Raw genomic sequence first — 22,450 nt, forward strand, 5'->3', positions numbered from 1 at the left:
ACTGAAAACTATAAAAAGCCCAAAAACCCCAGAAGAAAACTGAGGAAATACCATTCTGGACATCAGCCTTGGCAAAGAATTTATGACTAAGTCCCAAAAAGCAATTGCAACAAAAACAAAAGCTGACAAGTGGGACCTAATTAAACTAAAGAGCTTCTGCACAGCAAAAGAAACTATCAACAGAGTAAACAGACCACCTACAGAATGAGAGAAAATATTTGCAAACTATGCATCTGACAAAGGTCTAATATCTAGAATCTATAAGGAACTTAAATTTACAAGAAAAGGGCCGGGCATGGTGGCTCACGCCTGTAATCCCAGCACTTTGGGAGGCTGAGGTGGGCGGATCACAAGGTCAGGAGATCGAGACCATCCTGGCTAACACGGTGAAACCCCGTCTCTACTAAAAATGCAAAAAACTTAGCCGGGCGTGGTGGCGGGCACCTGTAGTCCCAGCTACTCGGGAGACTGAGGCAGTAGAATGGCGTGAACCCGGGAGGCGGAGCTTGCAGCGAGCCCAGATCACGCCACTGCACTCGAGCCTGGGCAACAGAGCGAGACTCTGTTCAAAAAATAATAACAATAAAATAAATAAGTAAATAAATTTACAAGAAAAAACAACCCCATTAAAAAGTGGGCAAAAGACATGAACAGATACTTTTCAAAAGAAGACATACACAAGGCCAACAAACATGAACAAAGGCTCAACATCATTATCATCAGAGAAATGCAAATGAAAACCACAATGAGATACCATCTCATACCAGTTAGGATGGCTATTATTAAAAAACAGTAAAAAAATAACAGATGTTGGTGAGGTTGTGGAGAAAGGGGAATGCTTATAAACTGTTAGTACGATATAAATTAGTTCAGCCACTACGGAAAGCAGTTTGGAGATTTCCCAAAGAACTTGAAATAGAACTACCATTCAACCCACCAATCCTCACTACTGGGTATATACCTAAAGAAAAATAGGCCAGGTGTGGCGGCTCATGCCTGTAATCCCAGCACTTTGGGCGGCCAAGACAGGTTGATTACTTGAGTCCAGGAGTTTGAGACCAGCCTGGGCAACATAGTGAAACCCTTTTCTCTACAAAAAATAAAATTAAAAACTAAATAAAAATTTAAAATAAAAATAAACCATTCTACCAAAAAGACACATGCACTTGTATGTTCATCTTAGCACTGTTTGCAATATCAAAGACACAGAATCAACCTAGATACCCTTCAAGAGTGGACTGGATAAAGACAATGTGGTCTATATACACCATAGAATACTACGTAGCCATTAAAAAGAACAAAATAATATCCTTTGCAGTAACATGGATGTAGCTGGAGGCCATTATCCTAAGTGACCTAATAGAGCAACAGGAAACCAAACACTGCATGTTCTCACTTATAAGCAGGAGCTAAACACTGAATACACATGGACACAAAGAGGGGAACAATAGACACTGCATGACTACTAGAGGGGCTAATAGTGCAGGGAGTGTGGGTGTGGGGCATGAGTTCAACAACTACGTATCAGGTACTATGCTTACTACCTAGGTGATGGGATCATTCATACACCAAATCTGAGCAACACACAATTTACCCAAGTTAACAAACCTGCACATGTACCCCCTGAACCTAAAATAAAAGTCAAGAAAAAAAAACACGATGGAGAGAAAACAAATTAAATAAAAATAAAAGGTAATTTCAACTTTAAAAAAAAATGGGCCAGGCGCAGTCGCTCACGCCTGTAATCCCAACACTTTGGGAGGCCGAGGCGGGCGGATCACGAGGTCAGGAGATCGAGATCACGGTGAAACCCTGTCTCTACTAAAAATACAAAAAATTAGCCGGGCGTGGTGGCAGGCGCCTGTAGTCCCAGCTACTCGGGAGGCTGAGGCAGGAAAATGGCGTGAACCTGGGAGGCGAAGCTTGCAGTAGCCGAGATAGCGCCACTGCACTCCAGCCTGGGCGACAGAGCGAGCCTCTGTCTCAAAAAAAAAAAAAAAAAAGTCTACAAATTGCACTGTTTGCCAAATCTTCTAGGAAAGAGCTAAAGATATCTAAAGAAGCTGTCTACTCATAGGCATTGACAACATAAAAGAGAAAGCAAAACAAACAAGCATACTAAACTCCCTAGGGGGTTTCAATTAATCTTCTTTATTGGAAAATAAATAGTAGCACACAATGGCTAATAATAACTGAGTGTTTATAATGTGTCAGGCACTGTTCTAAGCATTTCATATGAATTAATTCACTTAATTATCACAGCAATCTATGAAATAGGCACTTTGATTACCCCCATTTTATAGACAAGAACATTGAGGCACAAGAGTTTAAATAACTTTCAACATTCACACAGCTAGTAAGCGGCATTGCCAAGATTCAAACAGGTGTCTGGCTCCAGAGCACCATCATCAAGAGCTGTTAGATCTCCTTGCTAGAACCATCTATATCTGGTCATTAGCCAATCACTTCATTTTTTCGCTTACTCAGTTGTGGCCTCAGAATCTGTTCTCAACGAAGCATTCTAGGTAGTCAACATCAATCGATTAGATTTAGATTTAGCACAGATTAAAACTACTTGTCATTCCTAGTGCACATTGTTGCTTTTTAGTGAGTTCCTGCTCCCTAACAAAGACTAAGAACCTCAAGTGTTTTTGTTTTGATCGATAAATGAACAATTAGAAGAGTTATATGCATGTAAGGATAGAGAATTTAACCAGATATTTGTGATGGTTTCAATAACCCCCACTTTCTCTCTTAAGGATCTACTCATTCCCTGCCATTTATCTACAGATCTTGCAAACACCCAGCTCAAGCATGCCCACCTCTGCCTGCCCCACCTTGGCAGTGCTGATCACTCCCCCTTCTCAACACCACTGTGCTAGGTATAGGTCCCTGGTACTGTGCCGCAAAATTTGCTTACATGTATGTCACACACCAGACCGTGAGTATCTTAAGAGTAAAGATCATCCATTACAATGTCCAGACCTCTGTGCAGTTGATTTCAGGCTTTGAGAGGAGGCAATTTCATTGAACTAGTTCACAAAGTAATAAGTGATGTATTTCAGGAGTATTCTTATTTTTCAAAAGAGGTCAATGTAATATATCAACATCTTTTAACATTATGTGCTTGCAAGTCCCCTAATCTTCTTTAATTCTTTACACAACTCTATGAACCATTATTACTGTATCCATTTAACAGATGAGAAAACTGAGGCACAGAACAAGAAACTTACCTAAAGTCACACAGCAAAGTGGCAAAATCAGCATTCAAACCTTGTCTATCTGACTGAAGCCTTCACTCTCGACCACTGTGTGATGCTGCCTCTCAACAAATTAATGTCCAGCAGTGAATGTGCACTGGAACATTTTGGTATGTAAAGGAAGGTCTCTGGGGCTGCGGATGGGCCAGGATCTGCTCTTCTATGATCTGCCTCTAGTCAGTTCTTCAGAACTGTTCCTACACTGAATATCTCTTCCTTTCCACCACTTTCGAGAACAGAGATACCCCAGCAAACCTTAAGTTCTGCCACAGTGCCTGTCAGAGTAGTGCCTAGTGGAGGCAGGAACAGCTACCTGCCTATAATACAAGAGAATGGAAACTGGAAAAATCACTGGACAGGGTAAGTTACCCTGTGGCCTTCACATAAAATGAAAGTCACACCAAAAGGAGAAAAGAGACAAGGCAGCCTCTGTGGTTTCACAGAATAACAGAACGGGAATCTGATGGAAAGGAGATTTCTCTTGTCTCCTTTCCAGAAATCAGAGAAAGAATCTGATTTCTCTTGTCACTGACCTAAAAGAAATAGGCATCCTAGGATCTCATTTCTCTGGGAAGTATTTTATTTCAACTAAATTACTTAGATTCTTAACATTCCTAAGGAAATAATCAGAAATGAGAAATGCAATAACAATGTAATTGGGTTCATATCTTTACTTTAAATTCATATACCAGTTAAACAAACATTTACTGAGACCTCCTGACTACCAGGCATTGTGCCAGACACTGGCATTAGGGATAATACATAATTCATTCCCCACTTTAAGGTAGTTCACAACTAGCTTTTTGGTAGAAAGTTGACATTTCCTAGTCACAGCACTGACACATTGAAAAGGAGCATTTCTTCCTTTCACATATCTTTCCAAATTAAGTTTTGTTAATGGATTTCGGCATTATAAAAGGTGATAGAAAATATAGTCAGGGAAGCAAGCTAACAGGCTATATACTACTTTTAACCCTCACAAATAAAAGAAAATGGTAGAACAGGAAAGCTAAACTAAAATGTAACTACAACTTTACCTTTTCCCATTCCTATTTGTATATTTTTTTCTCATTTGCACTGGCTTTGTTTAGGTTTTATTCATTCATTCATTTAACAGACATATATCACCTTCTATATGTCCTGGACACTGACAATATAACACTAAACATACAAAAATTCCCACCCTTGTTTTTACCTTCTAGAGACCATAATCAAAATAAACTATACACAGTAACATTCTTATCCGTTTCCCTTATATGCTTGTTCACTCTAGAAACAAGCTGAGATTTTATAAACAAAACAAAGCAAAACAAAAACAAAAAACTTGCAAAATTCAATTCTCTGGGATGTTCAGGCAGTCCATGAAAAATACAATAAAATAAAATAATTCAATTCTCCAAAAATTGTACATTATTCTTTTCATTTGTAATTCTTTAAAGCTGAATATGCAGACTTATTGGATATCTGTATTTAATTCTTTTATGAACTTCCTATTCATGTGCTTTTGCTATTTTTCTATTATTAGTGTGTTAATTTTTTTGTTATTTTTTACAGAACTTTACAATTAAGAACAGCAATGTTTGGTCATACATATTGCAAAACATTTCTTCCAAGTTATCATAATAAAAGTCAAATTGAGCACTGGAATTTCATGAATCTGCACATACCGTGTTATTACAAAACCAGATAATGTCCCCTTCATTACCAGTGTAGAAAAGTATTGATCCACCATTTTTCTTCCAGTATTTATCAGCTACTAGGTACCGCTGATTAAAAGTTTTCACAGTATTAAATCCAAAATGATCAACCTGTGATAAAAACAAAACAAAACATATTTCAAAGGAAAGTAATAAAATGAGATCAACATAAAGGTAATTAATTCTTCCATTAAAATCAATCTCTACTACAAAAATAATCACAAGAAATTTTAAACTTCACTGTTTTATTATTAATAGTAATATCGATATTATTATTTTGAAATCATTTCCTTATATTATAAAATAAAGTAATATTTGCTATTGGTGATCAAGATTTTCAATGTAAAAGAAAAAATACAATTATAAAATCAAATAGCTACTTAAAAACATAATGTTAAAATTGAATTGTAAATACAATGTGAACCCTTTTTTAATTTTTAATGCATTTTTAATTGGCAAATAAAATTTTACGTATGGTGTATATAACATGATGTTCTGAAATACGTATATGCTGTAGAATGGCTAAATTGAGCTAATTAACATAAGCATTACCTCATATATTTATCATTTTTTGTGATAAGACCACTTAAAATCTACTCCCTTAGCAATTTTTAAGTATATAATACATCCCATTATTTTTCAAAATACAGTTTTCCATTACTATCTGAATTTTCATTGTACAAACTTTCAATATTAAAAATTCATGAACTAAATAGACTACTGAAAAGGTCCATAAACCTTGTCACCCCAGCACACCATAGATATTCTAAGTTACAAGAATTTCATGTCTATATCATTCCCACCAAAAGAAATTAGGGCTTATTAGTGAAGTGGCTGATTGACATTTGGGACAAGGAAGCTGCAAGATAAGCTTATGCATTTTGCTGTGCAAGGAAGCAAGAAAGTGCTCACAATTAATGGAGAGTTATATTTAAAGAAGATAGGAACCAACCACAAGGAACTATCACTGGCAATCATTTTAATAAATTGAACGTAAAACAAAAACAAATTAAACATAAAAAGAATAATGACTGTAGTTAATTGAAACATTCAATTCATGAAACTCCATTAGTCCACAAAAATATTTCTAAAAAGGAAAGAAAGGAAAAGGTTCATTTGCCACCATTTGTTTATTAAATCAACTCTTACTCTGAAATTGGGAATTAAAAAGTAAAAAATTCAACATTTAACCTGCCTGTCCAACAGAACTGTGTTTGATGGCTACGAATAGTCCCAGTTAATAAAGAAGAGCTGTGTTTAGTCAAATGTCAGCTAATGTGGAAGGAATGACAGAATTAGAATATGACAGTTCTGTAAAGTTACTGATTCAGGCAAGAATTATCAATTGGTGTTAAAAGCATTAGGAAAATGAATAATATGAAAATGAACATTCATATAGTATCAAAGTAATACAATAGAGAATACTCGCTTGTCACAAGGGGAAAACATAACTACAATGGAAGGATCAGGCTGCTATCACTTTAATCTAGTAATTAATTTTGTTAGTATCATCAATGGTAGAGCACGCAGGGATTATGTATCTCCTCATGTGGCACAACATGAAGCACATATCACCTATGACGTATTCCTGCCGAAAATGTTTCATTTCATCTTAATCCAGCCTTTAGATCTAATTTCCAGGTTCCAGGAAATATAAAGGTAAAAGAGCAAGTTGAAGATATTTCAAAGGGACAACAGATACTGAAGGTAGAACATTTTACAAGACAATTGACAAGGCAATATCATGAGAAAGGACTATTTTAGATTAAATGAATTTTAAGGAACATAATAACCAGACATAATACATGACCCTGGATTGGATCCTAGTTTGAACAAACAAGATATACACAATGATGTAGGGACAAATGTGTAATTTTAATATGGACTAGTTATTAAATGATACAGGTTGAGCATCCCTAATCCAAAAATCCAAAATCCAAATGCTCCAAATCTGAAACTTTTGAGCACCAACATGATACTCAAGGGAAAGGCTCATTAGAGTATTTCAAATTTTGGATTTTCAGATTAGGTATATTCAGTCAGTAACCATAATATGACTATTACAAAATCAAAAAAAAAAATCCAAAAAAAAATCCAAAATCTGAAATGCTTCTGGTCCTAAGCATTTCAGAAAAGGAATACTCAATTTGACCTAAAGACTTGTTCATTTTGTCAAAAGTGTTCATATTGTTTTGGCTACATAAGAAAATGATTTCTTAAACGGAATTTTAAATATATTTTTGAGATTTCTTTTTACCCTTTGAGATTTTTTAACTTACTATTTAAAATGTAATTATCAAATACTATAACATGGTAAGATTCATGTACAACAATCTGAATTTACAGATTTACCCTGCAGCACAGAGTCTCACTGAGCCTTTAGCATCATGGGGGCTAAATTCCTCAGTGCTTTGGAAAGACAGAAATGAGAATGCAGCACCCAGTCTGGGTCAGACATAGGCTGTTCCAGCGCTGCTCCAGTCTCCCAGGAACAGTGCTTAGTTTTGACCTAAACCAGACCCTGTAAGACTTGCCTAGGTCATTCTAAAACAGATGGGACTTCCTGCACCCAGCTCTATCTACACACACAGTTCCCATTCATACCACTGGTCCCAAAACACAAGTGTCTCAAAACTTTACCTAACTGCAAACTTCCTGGTATCTATGATCATCACCATATGTAGTCCTAAAATATGATATTCTAATCTAAAGACTGTCTACTTTTCAGGAAAATAAGCAGTTTTTATGGACGAGGTATGTAATAATGATGTCCATGTGCTATAAACCCTTCCATTATACATGTTAATTTACTCAATCATTCACTCAACAAGAATCTATTGAATTCCTATTTTGGGCCAAGTACTAAGCTAAGCAATGGGATAAAGAGTTGGCTGAGCTGCAATCCCTGAATTTAACTTAAGCTAATTCAACTATATCCACTCAGCCTAAAAATGAAAGGGCAAGAAAGGCAGACAGACAGTGAAAGGAAGACGGATAAGTGATTCCACCTGCTTCCATTCAATTAGTACAGTGGTTCTCCAGGTGAGGTCCCCAGACCAGCAGTATCAGCTTCACCTGAGAACTTGCTGAAAATGCAATCCCCTTGGCTGAATCCCAGACCTACAGAATCAGAAACCATGAGGGTAAAACCCAGTAAACTGTGCTTTAACAAGCCGTACAGGTGATTCTGTAAAGTTTTGAAAACCACTGAGTTAGAATAAGCACCAAAATAGACATTAATTTGTTATTCCTTCTCTTGTTCTAGGTTTCAGAGTACCTGAAATACTGTAAGTATCTCATCATGCTGAATGAGACTCTGGTGTCTAAAGATTTGAATTACCACTGAACATACCCCCAAATATAAGCTAACTGTATCATTTGAAACTCAACATGAGAAACCACCACAGGAACACCTTTCGAAACTCAGCAGGTTTCAACAAGGGAGGAAAGACTGACTGTGTTGGACTTAAAGAAAGGAAGCTCATGGCTCTCTAACAAGATGCCTTCCCATGAGATTCTTGAAGATAATTTTGCCCTAATGATTTTCACCTCACCCACTGACTACAGAACTGAGTCTTCATGTAAACTGAGATATTGCCGTAGCCTTTAAAAGCATCCCACAAAGAAAAACATTAATAATCCAGTCTAAAATTTTCAGATTTGAAAACATGGGTATGTGTTTGTATATGTCATGCTAAATATAACTGATATAAAGTTCTTGCCAGAGAAACACTTCCATCTAGAATCACAAGGGCCACAAGAACTTCAGAACCAGAGAAAGCCAAATTCCCTTGTGTGGCCATGCCCAAGGTACTCCTGCTCCCAGCAATCAGCCTTGATTGTTAAGATTGGGGAAAAGAGAGAGGAACCCTGGCAAGAAAGCAGACTTCGGAGTTAAAAGACCTGAACTTGAATCTCTTCTAACTGTGAAGCCTCGGGCAAATTACTTAACCTCTCTGAACCTTAGTATCTTCCTGTATAAAATAAGGATAACCACATACAATTCAAAGGATTTCTGTGAGGATAGGGAAAATGCACCTAATGTACCAGGCATAGTTCCAGATATATACGTGCTTAAAAGATGTTAGTTCTCCTCTCTATCCCATTTGCACACCAATCCTAAGCACGGAGTACTTAGATGGGAGACAGATTAAGTTCTTCACAGAATTACAGGACCTTAGAATGTCAAAATCTCCTATTTTCTGAGTGCTTCACCTAGGTGCTAAACAACTGGAAATACGTAGTGAAATGTTCTTTGCACAACATGAATTTACAGAATTTCCTTGGCTCCTTCCTATCATCAAGGATATCAACTTCTGGCTAGATAACTAGATAGTTTTCAACACCTAATGGCCAGGCACACTAGGGGCAGCATGCCCTCTGCTGTTGAGAAGTGGGACCCACGTGCCACTCCCTGTTCTGGGCTCCTGAATAAAGATTTTATGAATTACAACACGGAAAGGTCACAAGGGCCTTAGAAACCATTCCGTCTGTGTTGCTCAACTGAAGAAATTAGGCTCGAAGAGGTCACATGACTTAGCCATGGTCACAAGGCAGAGGCAGAGCTAGAACTTTATTTTTGCAGTTTGGTTTATTGAACCAATTAAAATAAATAATAGCATGGTAAAGACAACACCGTATGACCTTGGAAAGGAAACAAACCTCTCTAGTCATGCACAGCAGTTCTTTCTAGCACGTGGTCCTAGAAATTTCATTTTTTCTTTTTTATAATTTTTTTTATGGCCCAAGAAATTTCAAAACATGCTTCCCCACTTTACCATGTGGAGGAGAAATAGATCTGTGAGAATGGGTAGGCAAGAAGAAAAGAGACCATCCTTTAAATGATGTTTATTGTATAAAAGTAATTATTTGGACTTTAAAACCACTCAAGAATAAAGTTCGCATCCAGAAAAATCAGTAGCAACATTACATCTGTTAGTTTTGATGGCAACTTGGGGACAGCGGGGGTGGGAGAGGTGGGGATGGGAGGGAATAACACAGAGCACCTACCACGTGTCTGCCACAGTGCTGTTGCTCTACACAGATCCCTTCACCATCTCGGCAGTTACCCTCTGGGGCCACTTTCATCACCCAGTTTTAAAATAAGAAGGCTGATGCTCAGAGAGGTCAGAGAGCTTGCCCAAGGTAATGTAACTAATAATTAGGAATCAAATGTAATTCTTTTCATGTGCTTTTAACCCCTACCCAATCCCGCCTCCAAGAAAACCCAGATCTTTATACTCCTTGCATTATAACACGCTCATGCAGATAAAGCTGACTATAAACTTCAACCCTCGGTAGGCGACACTTAAGAGTGAGTATCTTTCTCCTAAATTTGCAAAATGAAGGACAAATCTCCCAGCCATTTACTAACAGTTACATTGCAGAATATGTGGAATGTTGGTCTTTTCACTGACCTGACAATAATTGTTACTACACTACTATTGCTAACTCCATTAGGCCACTGATAAAACCAAAATCACATTGGCTCCTTCTTGGCAGCCTTCGGTTTTAGAAAATTCAGTATGCAGTTGGATTTATTCAGGCACCCAGACATCTAATAACAGTTAACTAAAATTTTACTAAAGATACAAAAAGTATACCCAGAGATATACATGACCAAAAAAATTAACTTACGCCTCCAATAAATCAAAGCACCTTAAAGGAGTTTTTCATGTGCTCTGGTTTCCAACTCTAATGCAGAGATCTAAAATAAAATAAGACCCTCTTTCTCCCATTTGATGTGTGTGTCTTATATTAATTTGGGGATTGTGGGGTTACATTCCATTAGAGTTCTTAAATGGAGACTGACAGCTTTCTGGGCAAGCTTGATATGCCCTGAAAGGATGGACACTTTTATGTTAGAAGAACACGGGTTCCCAAAGAAGGACTAAAACATGGAAGGAAGGTGGAGTTTAGACAAGCCCTAGATCTACAGTTGGAGAAGGATGGATGTCTAGGAGTGGATTCCTACTAAGTTGTCCCTCACACATGGGCACCCTAGAGGTAGGACAAGATCAGAGAGCAAGCCACATCTTATGAGTCAGATCTCTGGCTCTTGGATGACTCCTGGTTTATTTCTTCTTTATTATGTCAAGGCCTTTCAAAAACCCTGCTTAAATGTTCTACCTTTACTCATCCATACAATGAAGATACCAGAAAGTATTGGAGATTAAATTTGACTTAAAGAATTAAAGAGGAAACGGTATCCCCCAGTGAGTGTAGTGGTAGCAAAGGAAATGTTTACAAGTCCCTCCAAGAGGAAGGTGAGTCCAAGAAGATACTGTCCTCCCTTCCCACGAAGATGCTCTCGTCATTGCCAACCTTAGAGGGTCGAGCTTCCATCTTAACAAAAAGGGTGGAAGTCCTCTCAGAGATATGCTTCAAAGGCAATCATCTTCGTATGTAATAAGACACTGCTCCTCTTTACACATACTTCTATAAGTGTTAACCAGGAGACAGAACTGCATTCCCTGACTCCTATGCTTTTTTTTTCCTAACATGCCCCTAATCTTAAAAATGAGACTCTTAGAAATAAATTTATTTAAAGAGAAAATGGTAAATGAGAAAGGGAAGCAAATAAGTGATAATGGGAGAGTCCATCATGGGGAAAATTTAGTGCCCCAGCCTCCTATACTCAGATGGTTTGAAAGGCAAGAACACAATAGCTACCACAGTGCCCTTGTACATGGCAGATACTTTATAGATAATTGTTTTTAATTTTTTTTTTTTTGAGCCGGAGTCTTGCTCTGTCACCCAGGCTGGAGTGCAGGGGCGTGATCTCGGCTCACTGCAACCTCCACCTCCCGAGTTCAAGCAATTCTCCTGCCTCAGCCTCCCAAGTGGCTGGGATTACAGGTGCCCACCACCACACCCGGATAATTTTTGTATTTTTAGTAGAGACAGGGTTTCACCATGTTGGCCAGGCTGGTCTCAAACTCCTGACCTCAAGTGATCCACCTGCCTCAGCCTCCCAAAGTGCTGGGATTACAGGCATGAGCCACCGCGCCCGGCCATAGATAATTGCTCAACTGATGCAGTTTAAATCTTCTAAGTAAGTGGTTCTTGTGTTTCTGATTATGAGGTTCCCTTCTTAATGTTAAAATTATCACAGATGTGTTATATATTAGTAGCCAGTGCTTGAGAAAATATGAGAAGCTATTATAAATTCAATAATGGTATAAATAAATATCACAACAGCATCTATCTATGTGGAAAAAAAAATTGTGCTTAGTAACCAAATGGGGAGAGAAAACACCCTCTCGAAAAATTCTGCAGTGCTTAATAACCTTTCTTTCCTCAAACCAAGAACTCCTGGGCCCAGAGGGGGAATTGCTAAGTTATCAAAATGCTGTGAAACCAAAACACTCTTTGCTTTACTGCTAAAACAGAGGTGAAAATATCCTGCCGTTGAGAATACCTAAAATGCTCCAGTAAATCAAGAAATAACATGTTTTGACAAATAACAGTTAAGTGTTTCATTAGAGGGAGATTCTATCTGTTGGTCAAACAGCTCTGTGAAAGCACCACATAATCAATGCCTTCCCACGGCTTCAGGAAGCTTTGTACTAGAAGAATTACCGGGCCACAGCTCAAGCTCCCAAATTAGAGATAAAGTGCTGCTGTAATCAAGCACTGCATATAAATTTTAGGAAATGACACACCACCAGAGGGCGCCCTTATATAAGTAGTAAAGTCGGAAAGACCATTACTTTTTTTTTGTTTGTTCTCTAAGAGACGGGGTCTCCCCTCTGTAGCCCAGGCAAAGTAGAGTGGCCAGATCATAGCTCACTGCAGCCTCGAACTCCTGGGCTCAGGCGATCCTCCTTCCTAAGCTCGAGAGTAGCTGTAACTAAAGGCGCACACCACCACACCCGGTTTGTTAAGTTTTAAATTAAGTTTCAGAAAATCTTAGGACAGAAAGGGAACTTAGATCTCAAGTCCAAACTCTTGGATAAAAAACAGACACAGAGGCCAATTATTTTAAATCTTTCTTTTCTAAATAAATATATTATATGTTCACATGATTGAAACAACAATCATCCCCCTTCTTTTTAAAGTCAGGATTCAAAATCTGTGCTGTCAGAAACCAGGATATTGGTTACCAGTGCAGGGGAAAACTGACTGTAAAAGAGAATGAGGGGATTCTGGAGTTAGGATAATGCATTGTTCTGTATGTATAATAAGATAATTCAAAAGCAGATTGATAAACATTTAAAATCTCATTGAAGATATATATTATTTTACAAGATACATGTTTATATTTCTATTTCACTATACAGGCATATGTAAATTATATTGCACTAAATCACATTAATATTAAATTTTTCTTTCATTTAAAAATACTTATTGAGTGCTCACTAAAAGGCAGGTATTAAGAAAAAAACTAAGATACAATTCCATTTCTCAAGTTCTGGAGAATCTAACAGAAATGATTAATGTGCTAGTAAACAACCAAGCAGTGGTGTGGTTAAGTTCTGTATACAAAGCACTGTGGGAGCTCAGAAGCCAAAGTCACCACCCTGCCTGAGGAAATTACAGAGGGCTGCACCAAGGAGGTAATATCTGAGCTGAAACACAGAGAAGAATTTTTTTTTTTCAGGTACAAAAGAGCATTTCAAGCAAAGGAAGAAAAACATGTGCAAGGCTATGATGAGCTATACAGAATGAGCATAAATTCAGGAACTGTTGTTTTACGGCAAGAGGTTTATGAGGGGAAGACATGGGAGATGAGATTAGACTCACTGGGCTGCCACAATGGCTCACACCTTTAATCCCAGCGCTTTGGGAGGCTGAGGCGGGAGGATCAAATTGAGGCCAGGAGTTCGAGACCAGCCTGCCCAACATGGCAAAACCTCTTCTCTACAAAAATACAAAAAATTAGCCAGGCATGGTGATACACGCCTATAATCTCAGCTACTTGGGAGGCTGAGGCCCGAGAATCACTTGAACCTGGGAGGCAGAGGTTGCGGTAAGCCAAGATCACACCACTGCATTCCCACCTGGGTGACAGAGCAAGACTCTGTCTCAAAAAATAAATAAATAAATAAGGAAAAAGAAAAACCTAGGCCAGGTGCACTGGCTCACACCTGTAATTCCAACACTTCAGGAGGCCAAGGTGGTAGGATCACTTGAGCCCAGGAGTTCAAGACCAGCCTGGGCAACATAGCAAGACCCTGTCTCTACAAAAAATAAAAATATTAGCCGGGTGTGGTGGTACATGCCTATAGTCCTAGCTACTCAGGACGCTGAGATCAGAGGATCCCTTGAGCCCAGAAGTTCAAGGTTACAGTGAACTATGATCATGCCACTGCACTCCAGCCTGGGCGACAGAGTGAGACTCCATCTCAAAAAAAAAAAAAAAGAAGAAGAAAAGAAGAAAAGAAAGAAGGAAGAAAGGAAGGAAGGAAAGAAAGAAAGCGGTATAGAGAGACAGAAGAAAGAGAAGGAAGGGAAGGGAAAGGAGGAAGGAAAGAAGGAAGAGAGGGAGAAAGGGAGGAAAGAAACCTAGCTGAAATCCAAGATTGTTTCTCTAAACCAACAGTGAATGAAAAACATCCACTGGAAATAGACTCAAATAGGCAGGGACTTTTTTCTGTTTTGTCCACTTCTGAGTACACAGTGACTGGAATAAGGCCTGGCATGTAGTAGAAGACCAATGAATATATAGAGAGTAAATGAATGCATGCATGCATCATGGCTCTGCAGTTGGTATAAAAACAAAAATGAGAATGGAAAGCAAAGTTCCCAAGAAGGTCAAGTTTGTGCAGGTTCATTTATTGGGTGGGTCTGTTCCCAGCTTTGGAAGAGTTGCACAACACTGTAGTTGGATGTGCCTTTTGCCCAGTGACAAATCACATGCCTAATGGAGAACCCAAGCCTTAAATCTAAGAGCACCACATAACATTTGGACTGCTGAGGAAGCAGGAAATGCATGCCTTCTGCTGGGTGAAGAAACAGTTCTATATAACTACAAATAATATGGACAGAAGGCCAACATTGCAGGGAGTGCAGGAGAAGGACTAATCAGCATTTTACCAAAGCATATTACCTAAAATATAATTGATCTTGGTGACAAGGTTATAAGTCAAAGTTTTTAAGACTGGAAAGGACTTTAAAGTCATGGCTGTCAGCCAGGACACAATAACTTTACCTGAGAAACAGCTTTCTGTAAAATGTACAACATAGCAGCTCGTTCAGCAGCATACTAGTGTTTGGTGAATCCACATGTGCTGCAAAATGTTGATTTGATCAATGTGTAAAATTTGTGTTTCCAACAACAGAGTTTTAAGAAGGAAGAAACAGGGAAGAGGTATAATACCCTAGGACAAAAAGTAATTGGAGGGAATAGTTGAGACTCTAGGTAAGTGAGGGATATGTGATGCTGCGAGATCCTGGGAAGGAAGGAGGGAATGGGGTCAATAGCACCAACAGAAGGATCTGACTTGGGAACCCCTTCTCCACTGGGAAACAGATGGATGCAAGAGTTATCTTTCTAATTACCGAGGGAGGAAACTAAAAGGATTCTAGTTAAAATGCCTCTCATATAACACCTTAGTTTTTAGTCAATGAAGTAAAGGGACAAAGTAATCTATTAAAAGAGATAGTAAAAGAGAGCCTAGGATGGCAATGATTTAAAGACAGAGGTAAAAGTTCAGCATGGAAGAAAAAACTGATGCCTAGGCCTCCATAAAGCTCCTGAGGTTGGAGACTGAATTGGTATGCACAATAATCTGCCGCTTAGCAGATATTTACAACCCAGGAGCAGGAGCAGAGAAGTTTAATGGTTGGATAAAACTAGGATGAGAATGTCATAAAGGGGTTGTGAGAGGACAGGGGGCAAGAGAATTAAGGTCATTCCTATCTTCATGCAGCCTGAATATGCCCAGAGCTATGAGGTCCTGTCCACCACAGACAAATGCTGCCATAATCTGTTTGCTGATTTGCAAGGTAATCTAAACTATGCTGTATTTATTCTATTTTAAGGAGTAAATAATCTTGCCAGAACTCATATATATGATATATAAGCATTTCAATAATAATCTCATAAAAATAATGTAAGGCTGCATATCATCAAGGCCTTGAAAGTTTATATTCTTCTGCTTTGTTAAACATAAGATGATGTGTTACTGATTTTCTTCCTTTATAGTCTATTGTTCTAAATGTTTCTCTTTTTTTTTTTTTTTTTTTTTGAAACAGAATCTGACTCTGTCGCCCAGGCTGGAGTGCAGTGGCATGATCTTGGCTCGTGCAAACTTCGTCTCCTGGGTTCAAGCAATTCTCCTGCCTCAGCCTCTGAGTAGCTGCGACTATGGGCGTGCCCCACCATTCCCTGCTACTTTTTGTATTTTTAGTAGAGACGGGGTTTTGCCATGTTGCCCAGGCTGGTCTCGAACTCCTGAACTCAAGTGATCCACCCGCCTTGCCCTCCCAAAGTGCTGGGATTATAGGCATAAGCCATTGCACCTGGACTGTTCTGAATGTTTCTTCTATACATGCAAAATATTCTCCTGACACCACTGTTATAACTACATCACATCTTCTGAGAGATAGAGGCTGGTATCTGCTGGTATAATGTAAAAGGACAAAGACCCCTCAACCTCCAAAAAAGGCAAAAACCACGTTTCTCACGAACAGGAGTTCAGACCTGTGATCTATGTAACTCACAATCCAATCTTGCATACTACCACTCCTCCTGCAAAGAACTGTGATGACCTCATAAATCTTCTGTTCTCCAACTGAGCAACCCCAGTTCTTACTATTTCCCATATAACACTATATTCTAAAGTCCTCCTAACCCTGCTCACACTGGATTAATTAACATTCCCTCTTACAGATGGTGTGCCCAGAGCTGAGTACAATATGTAACGTGGTCTAATAAAGTGCCTTGCTCATCACTGGCCAGGAATAAATAACCGATGAGTGTGCTTATAGACCTTATCCATGGTTTTGCTTTCTGCAGTTTCAGTTACCCATGGTCAACCATGGTCAGAAAATAGGTGAGTACAGTACAACAAGATATTTTGAGAGAGAGAAAGAGACTACGCGTTCACATAATGTGTCATAGTTGTTTATTATTCATTATTGTTGTTAATCTCTTATTGTGCCTAATTTATAAATAAAACTTTATCACAGGTATGTATGTATAGGAAAAAACATACTATATATAGGGTTCAGTACTAACCGACATCTCTGGCATCTACTGGGGGTCTTGAAACGTATCCCCCGCGAAGAAGGGAGGACTACTGTATAGCTCCAATAACACAGCCTACTTTAAATTGAAAGTCATGTAGGTATACTGGGTTGCATAGCATCCCCCCAAAATTTATGTCCTTCCTAGAACCTCAGAATGTGACTTTATTTAGAAATAGGATCATTGCAGATGTCATTAGTTAAGATGAGGGCATGCTGGAGAGGGGTGGGCCCTTAATCCAATATGACTGGTGTTCTTATAAGAAAAGAAGAGACAAAGAGGCACAGAGAGAAGAATGCCATGTTAAGACACAGATGCACAAAAGCAAAATGGCCATGTGACAATGGAAGCAGAGACTGGAGTCAAGCAGCTTCCAGCAAAAGAACGCCAAGGACTGCCAACAGCCAGCAGAAGCTTAGCGAGGGACACAGACCAGACTCTTCCCCGGAGCCCGGACCAGGCTCTCCCCAGGAGTCCCCAAGAAGTAACCAATCCTGCTGACACCCTGACTTTGGACTTCTGGCCTCGGGAAGTGAGAGGATAAACTTCTATTGTTTTAAGCCTCCTAGTTTGTGATACTCTGCAGCCCTAAGAAACTAATACAGAAGGCCTCTCTATGGAGGTGGCAATGGAACCGAAGCCTGAAGGAGCCAGACAAAGAAAGAACTCTAGAAAGAAGAAACAGAAAATACAAAGAGCCAGAGGCCAGAAAGAGTTTAATGTAGAAAGAGAGATAAGATCAGTGGTGAACAAGAGAGAGAATGGTACTGGATGAGGCTTAGCGCTAAGTGGGCTATGATAGGGAGACTGAACTTAATTTAAAGGCAATAGGAAGCCTTCAAGAGTTTTAAAACTTATTCTGATCTGTTTTTTTTTTTTTAAAAAAAAAGAAAGTAAGAAGAATAAGTAGAAGGCTATTGAAAGGTTCACATGGCACATGATTATGAGAACAAGCCAGGCTTCAAGCCAAGGTATGTCTCTCTTAAATTGCTACATATTTAACATATATGACAATGTTTAATCTCCAAAGTCATAATACACCCCAGAAAGATCTCAATGAAGAAGGACTCAATATATGACATCAGCAGTATTCGTTTAACAACAATCAACAAAAGGAAGTCTTTTGAACAGCTGTAGTCACCACTATAGCCCACTTATAACAGATTCTGCAGTGGCCCTGACTGTGGGCATTTTAAACACGAAATGCCCCACTAAATTGGCAAAAGAGTTCCAAGGCCATCAGGCTCCCCCCAGCATTTAATAGAAGTCAGTAAAGCATATTCTATTGCTACCCTTTTCTCCAAAACCTATTCAAGAAATTGATAGAAGGTAATAAAACTAATTGTTCTCAAATGTTTAGGTCCCGTTCCACCCTGGTGAGATAAAAGACATCAGCAGCCACAATCTTCACTGGTTACCTCTGATGAATTAATAAACTACATGTTTAAAAAAGAAAAAGTACATACAAACATAGTATTACAACATAATGCTAAAATACAACTCTTCTTCTTCCATGGAGAATCTTCTGTGAATGATACCATGAGAACCACTGAAACAGAAAACCTACAACCTCTTTTCAGAGACTGCTTTAAAATAAATTTTTTTATCACATTGAAAAATACATGATGTTAAAGCACTCTGGAAAATTAAACTTTACAAAATCCCCACATGAATAGCATCCACCAAAGGAAGCAGCTGAGGAAAGTAATGTCTAAGTTTTTTCCTCCCTGGAAACTCCAACTCAAATTCGCAGTCCTGATTTCACTATAAAATGTCCTCCAGGGACTTTTTATCATTATCTTAAAGATACACTCTACAGACTATTCATTGTTTTGCACATTCATCCGGTCTAAATGATAATGGCGCTGTAAAAAAGATAAAGGAAGGGAAAAGGATATCCTCAGCAGAAACCAAAAAGCTCAGAACAATAACAACAAGTTCAAATGTAACCAAGTGGCTTCCTTTGATTACTTTCAGGTGGTTTTGCCACCACGACACCAGATAATCAACAACTTCCCAGAGTTAGTGGGATGTGTAAGTATTTCTTGAGTGCCTACCATGGGATAAGTACTAGAGTATAACAACAGTGAACAAGCTAGATATGGTCACTGCCCGCACAGGGCTTATAGTCTGGTGACAGACAACAGGAAACAAAAAACAAACAAGCAAATACACAAATAAGAACTTAGAAACTAATTGTACAAGTTTTACCTGGGTGCGGTGGCTCACACCCGTGATCCCAGGACTTTGGGAGGCCAAGGCTGGCAGATCACTTGAGCCAAGGAGTTCGAGACCAGCCTGGGCAACATGGCAAAACCCCGTCTCTTCAAAAAATACAAAAATTAGCATGGCATAATGGCATGCACCTGTAGTACCAGCCACTCAGGAGGATGAAGTGGGAGGATCACCTGAGCCCAGGAGTTCAAGGCTGCAATGAACTGTGATCACACCACTGGACTCCAGCCTGGGCAACAAAGTGAGACCCTGTCTCAAAAAAAAAAAAAAAAAAAGAAAAAAAAGAAAACTAGTTGTACAGGTTTTATTCTGATAGAGAATAAAAGAGGCAGATCGACTTCTAACAGGGTGGTCAGAAAAGAAGTCCTGGAGCAGGCAATAGTTAAGCCTTTAATCCACACAGCCGTCTACCCTGTGAAATGTCCTGGGGGTTCTATTCAACGCCACTCCCTTCATGAAGCATTCCTGCCTTCTTTGTGCTTTCATGGTATTTTAGCTATATTATAATCTTTTCAAATGTATCCTTGCACAGTAGTTATTTATACATACATGTCTTATAACCACCATACTGTTATAAACTGTAAAACTGTAAAAAAAAAAAACCTGTATAAAAAAAGTTAGAATCTGTTGAACACACCATGTGTGTTATTTCTTCCTGCCCCTGTGAATAGTGTAAGGGCTGAACTAGGACTACATGTAAATAATCTCAATTGTTCTTCAGAGGAACCCTATGGAGTAGAGAGGCTGTGTTTTCCCCACCATGCCTTACTGCCTCTCCCTTTCTGGCTAATCTCTGTATCCACAAAGTGCAAAACACAATGTGCACAGGCCTTACTACATCAATGACTCCTGAGTTGAACTGGAAGAACTGAGAAGTATGATGTGACATCTGAAGACCAAGTGACCTCACCCGAACTTAGACTACACCAGTTAACTCTGCTTTAGGCCTGTGGGGCTACCAGCAAGACTGTTTTCTTTCTATCAGAGGTGTGTTAGCCTCAGGAAATGTGAACAGATCCTACAATTACTCAGTTAAAATCCAACTCAACCTTGAAAGGTAGAAAAGCTGTAAACACATAGGTGACTATAATTAATACTGAGCCTCCTCAGCAAAGACAAGGCTCTTTCATCGTTCCACCATTTCCTGAGTACTTACTCTGTGTGCCGGGCTATACTGGATACAAGGATAAAAAGCCTTATTTTTTGCTCTGAAAGAGGCCACAGTCTACCAGAGGAGACAAGCAAGCAAAGAAATTATTTCTATATAAGGAATGCACATTATGAATGTGGGTGAGAACAGGGTGATTGTTATGGCAGCAAAGAGGAGGCACAACCCAACTAACCAGTGGTACACAAGGCCGTAGCGAAGGCAAACTCAAGAGAAGCTGATAATGTCTGTCCTGGCACCCTGCTCACCTCTTTTCCAGCCTCGTCTTCTACCACATGGCCCTCTCCCACTTCATATTCCAGAAATGCTCTGGACATACGCTTTCTGAAGTCTCCAGGCTTCTCTACATGGATTTCCTCCTGCCTGGAATGCATTCCTCTCTCGCATCATTACAAAAAAAAATTACTACCTCATCCTCAAAATGTTCATTCAAGTGCTGTCCCCTCTACAAAGTTTTCTAGGACAACCCCAGGCCCAAAGGAGAATGCTCCTTCTCTGATCCTATGACAGCTTCCAGAACAGTCACCACCACACTGTGCTGTCACTGTTTTGAAGGTTGGCTCAGCACAGTGAAAAGAGCCCAGCTCTGTAGCCTGAAAGTCCCACGTTGAAATGCTGATTGTGCCACTTTCTAGCTAGGTGTACCTCAGTTACTTCATCTATAAAAGGGAAAACTAACTTCCTTACAAGGTTGCAAGGATTCAAAGTGGTGTGTGTACAAGTCCCTGACCACAGCAAAGGCTCAAAAAGTACTCCCAGTGACTGATAACCATCAATAACTTTATACTGTGGTATTAAACAAAACACACACAAAAGTACATTACAACCATATGTGTATTTTTGCATTTGGCACGTGATATAGTTTTGCTGTGTCCCCACCCAAATCTCAACTTGAATTGTATCTCCCAGAACTCCCACGTGTTGTGGGAGAGACCGGGGGGAGGTTACTGAATCATGGGGGCCAGTCTTTCTTGTGCAAGTCTCGTGATAGTGAATAAGTCTTACAAGATCTGATAGGTTTATCAGGGGTTTCCGCTTTTGCTTCTTCCTCATTTTCTCTTGCCGCCACCATGTAAGAAGCGCCTTTCACCTCCTGCCATGATTCTGAGGCCTCCCCAGCCCTGTGGAACTGTAAGTCAAATTAAACCTCTTTTTCTTCCCAGTCCCGGGTATGTCTTTGTCAGCTGCATGAAAACGAACTAATACAGTAAATTGGTACCAGTAGAGTGGGGCATTGCTGAAAGGATACCCGAAAATGTGGAAGCAAATTTGGAACTGGATAACAGGCAGAGGTTGGAACAGTTTGGAGGGCTGAGAATAAGATAGGAAAATGTGGGAAAGTTTGGAACCTCCTAGAGACTTGTTGAATGGCTTTGACAAAAATGCTGATAGTGATATGAACAACAAGGTCCAGGCTGAGGTGGTCTCAGACGGAGATGAGGAACTTGTTGGGAACTGAAACAAAGGTGACTCTTGTTATGTTTTAGTAAAGAGACTGGTGGCATTTTGCCCCACCCTAGAGATTTGTGGAGCTTTGAACTTGAAAGAGATGATTTAGGGTATCTGGCAGAAGAAATTTCTAAGCAGCAAAGCATTCAAAATGTGACTTGGGTGCTGTTAAAAGCATTCCATTTTAAAAGGGAAACAGCATAAAAGTTCAGAAAATTTGTAGCCTGACGATGCAGTAGAAAAGAAAAACCTATTTTCTGAGGAGAAATTCAAACCAGCTGCAGAAATTGCATAAGTAGCAAGGAGCCCAATGTTAATCCCCAAGACCATGGGGAAAATGTCTCCAGGCCATGTCAGAGACCACACGGCAGCCCCTCCTATCACAGGCCTGGAGCCCCAGGAGGAAAAAGTGGTTACGTGGGCTGAGCCCAGGGTCCCCATGCTGTGT

General features: G+C 39.4%; 1 protein-coding gene across 4 annotated transcripts in view, besides 2 other annotated features; it reads right to left on the reverse strand.

Moving 5' to 3' along the window:
• The window catches only part of PRCP (prolylcarboxypeptidase), a 78,709-nt gene that overhangs the window by 32,114 nt on the left and 24,145 nt on the right, over positions 1 to 22,450 (reverse strand). For 3 of the 4 annotated variants that reach the window (XM_005274093.2, NM_005040.4, NM_199418.4), the window contains one exon: positions 4,928 to 5,068. The exons of the other annotated variant lie outside the window; for it this stretch is intronic. Coding sequence is in view for 2 of the 3 variants with exons in the window: in NM_005040.4 (NP_005031.1) it covers positions 4,928 to 5,068 (141 nt within the window). In the remaining variant the exon portion in view is untranslated. The remainder of the gene's footprint in view (positions 1 to 4,927; positions 5,069 to 22,450) is intronic. 4 annotated transcript variants of the gene reach the window in all.
• Positions 3,011 to 4,210: an enhancer, noted in NCBI's record as "CDK7 strongly-dependent group 2 enhancer chr11:82569102-82570301 (GRCh37/hg19 assembly coordinates)". NCBI's record gives its function as "activates an origin of replication core promoter dependent on BRD2, BRD4, P300/CBP, MED14 and CDK7 cofactors, with strong dependence on CDK7, by STARR-seq in HCT116 cells {active_cell/tissue: HCT116}" and the evidence as "EXISTENCE:reporter gene assay evidence [ECO:0000049][PMID:35650434]".
• Positions 12,524 to 12,783: an enhancer, noted in NCBI's record as "active region_5332". NCBI's record gives its function as "activates an Ori minimal core promoter by ATAC-STARR-seq in GM12878 lymphoblastoid cells {active_cell/tissue: GM12878}" and the evidence as "EXISTENCE:reporter gene assay evidence [ECO:0000049][PMID:35858748]".

This window comes from Homo sapiens, chromosome 11 (assembly GCF_000001405.40).
Source record: "Homo sapiens chromosome 11, GRCh38.p14 Primary Assembly".
Taxonomy (NCBI): Eukaryota; Metazoa; Chordata; class Mammalia; order Primates; family Hominidae; genus Homo; species Homo sapiens.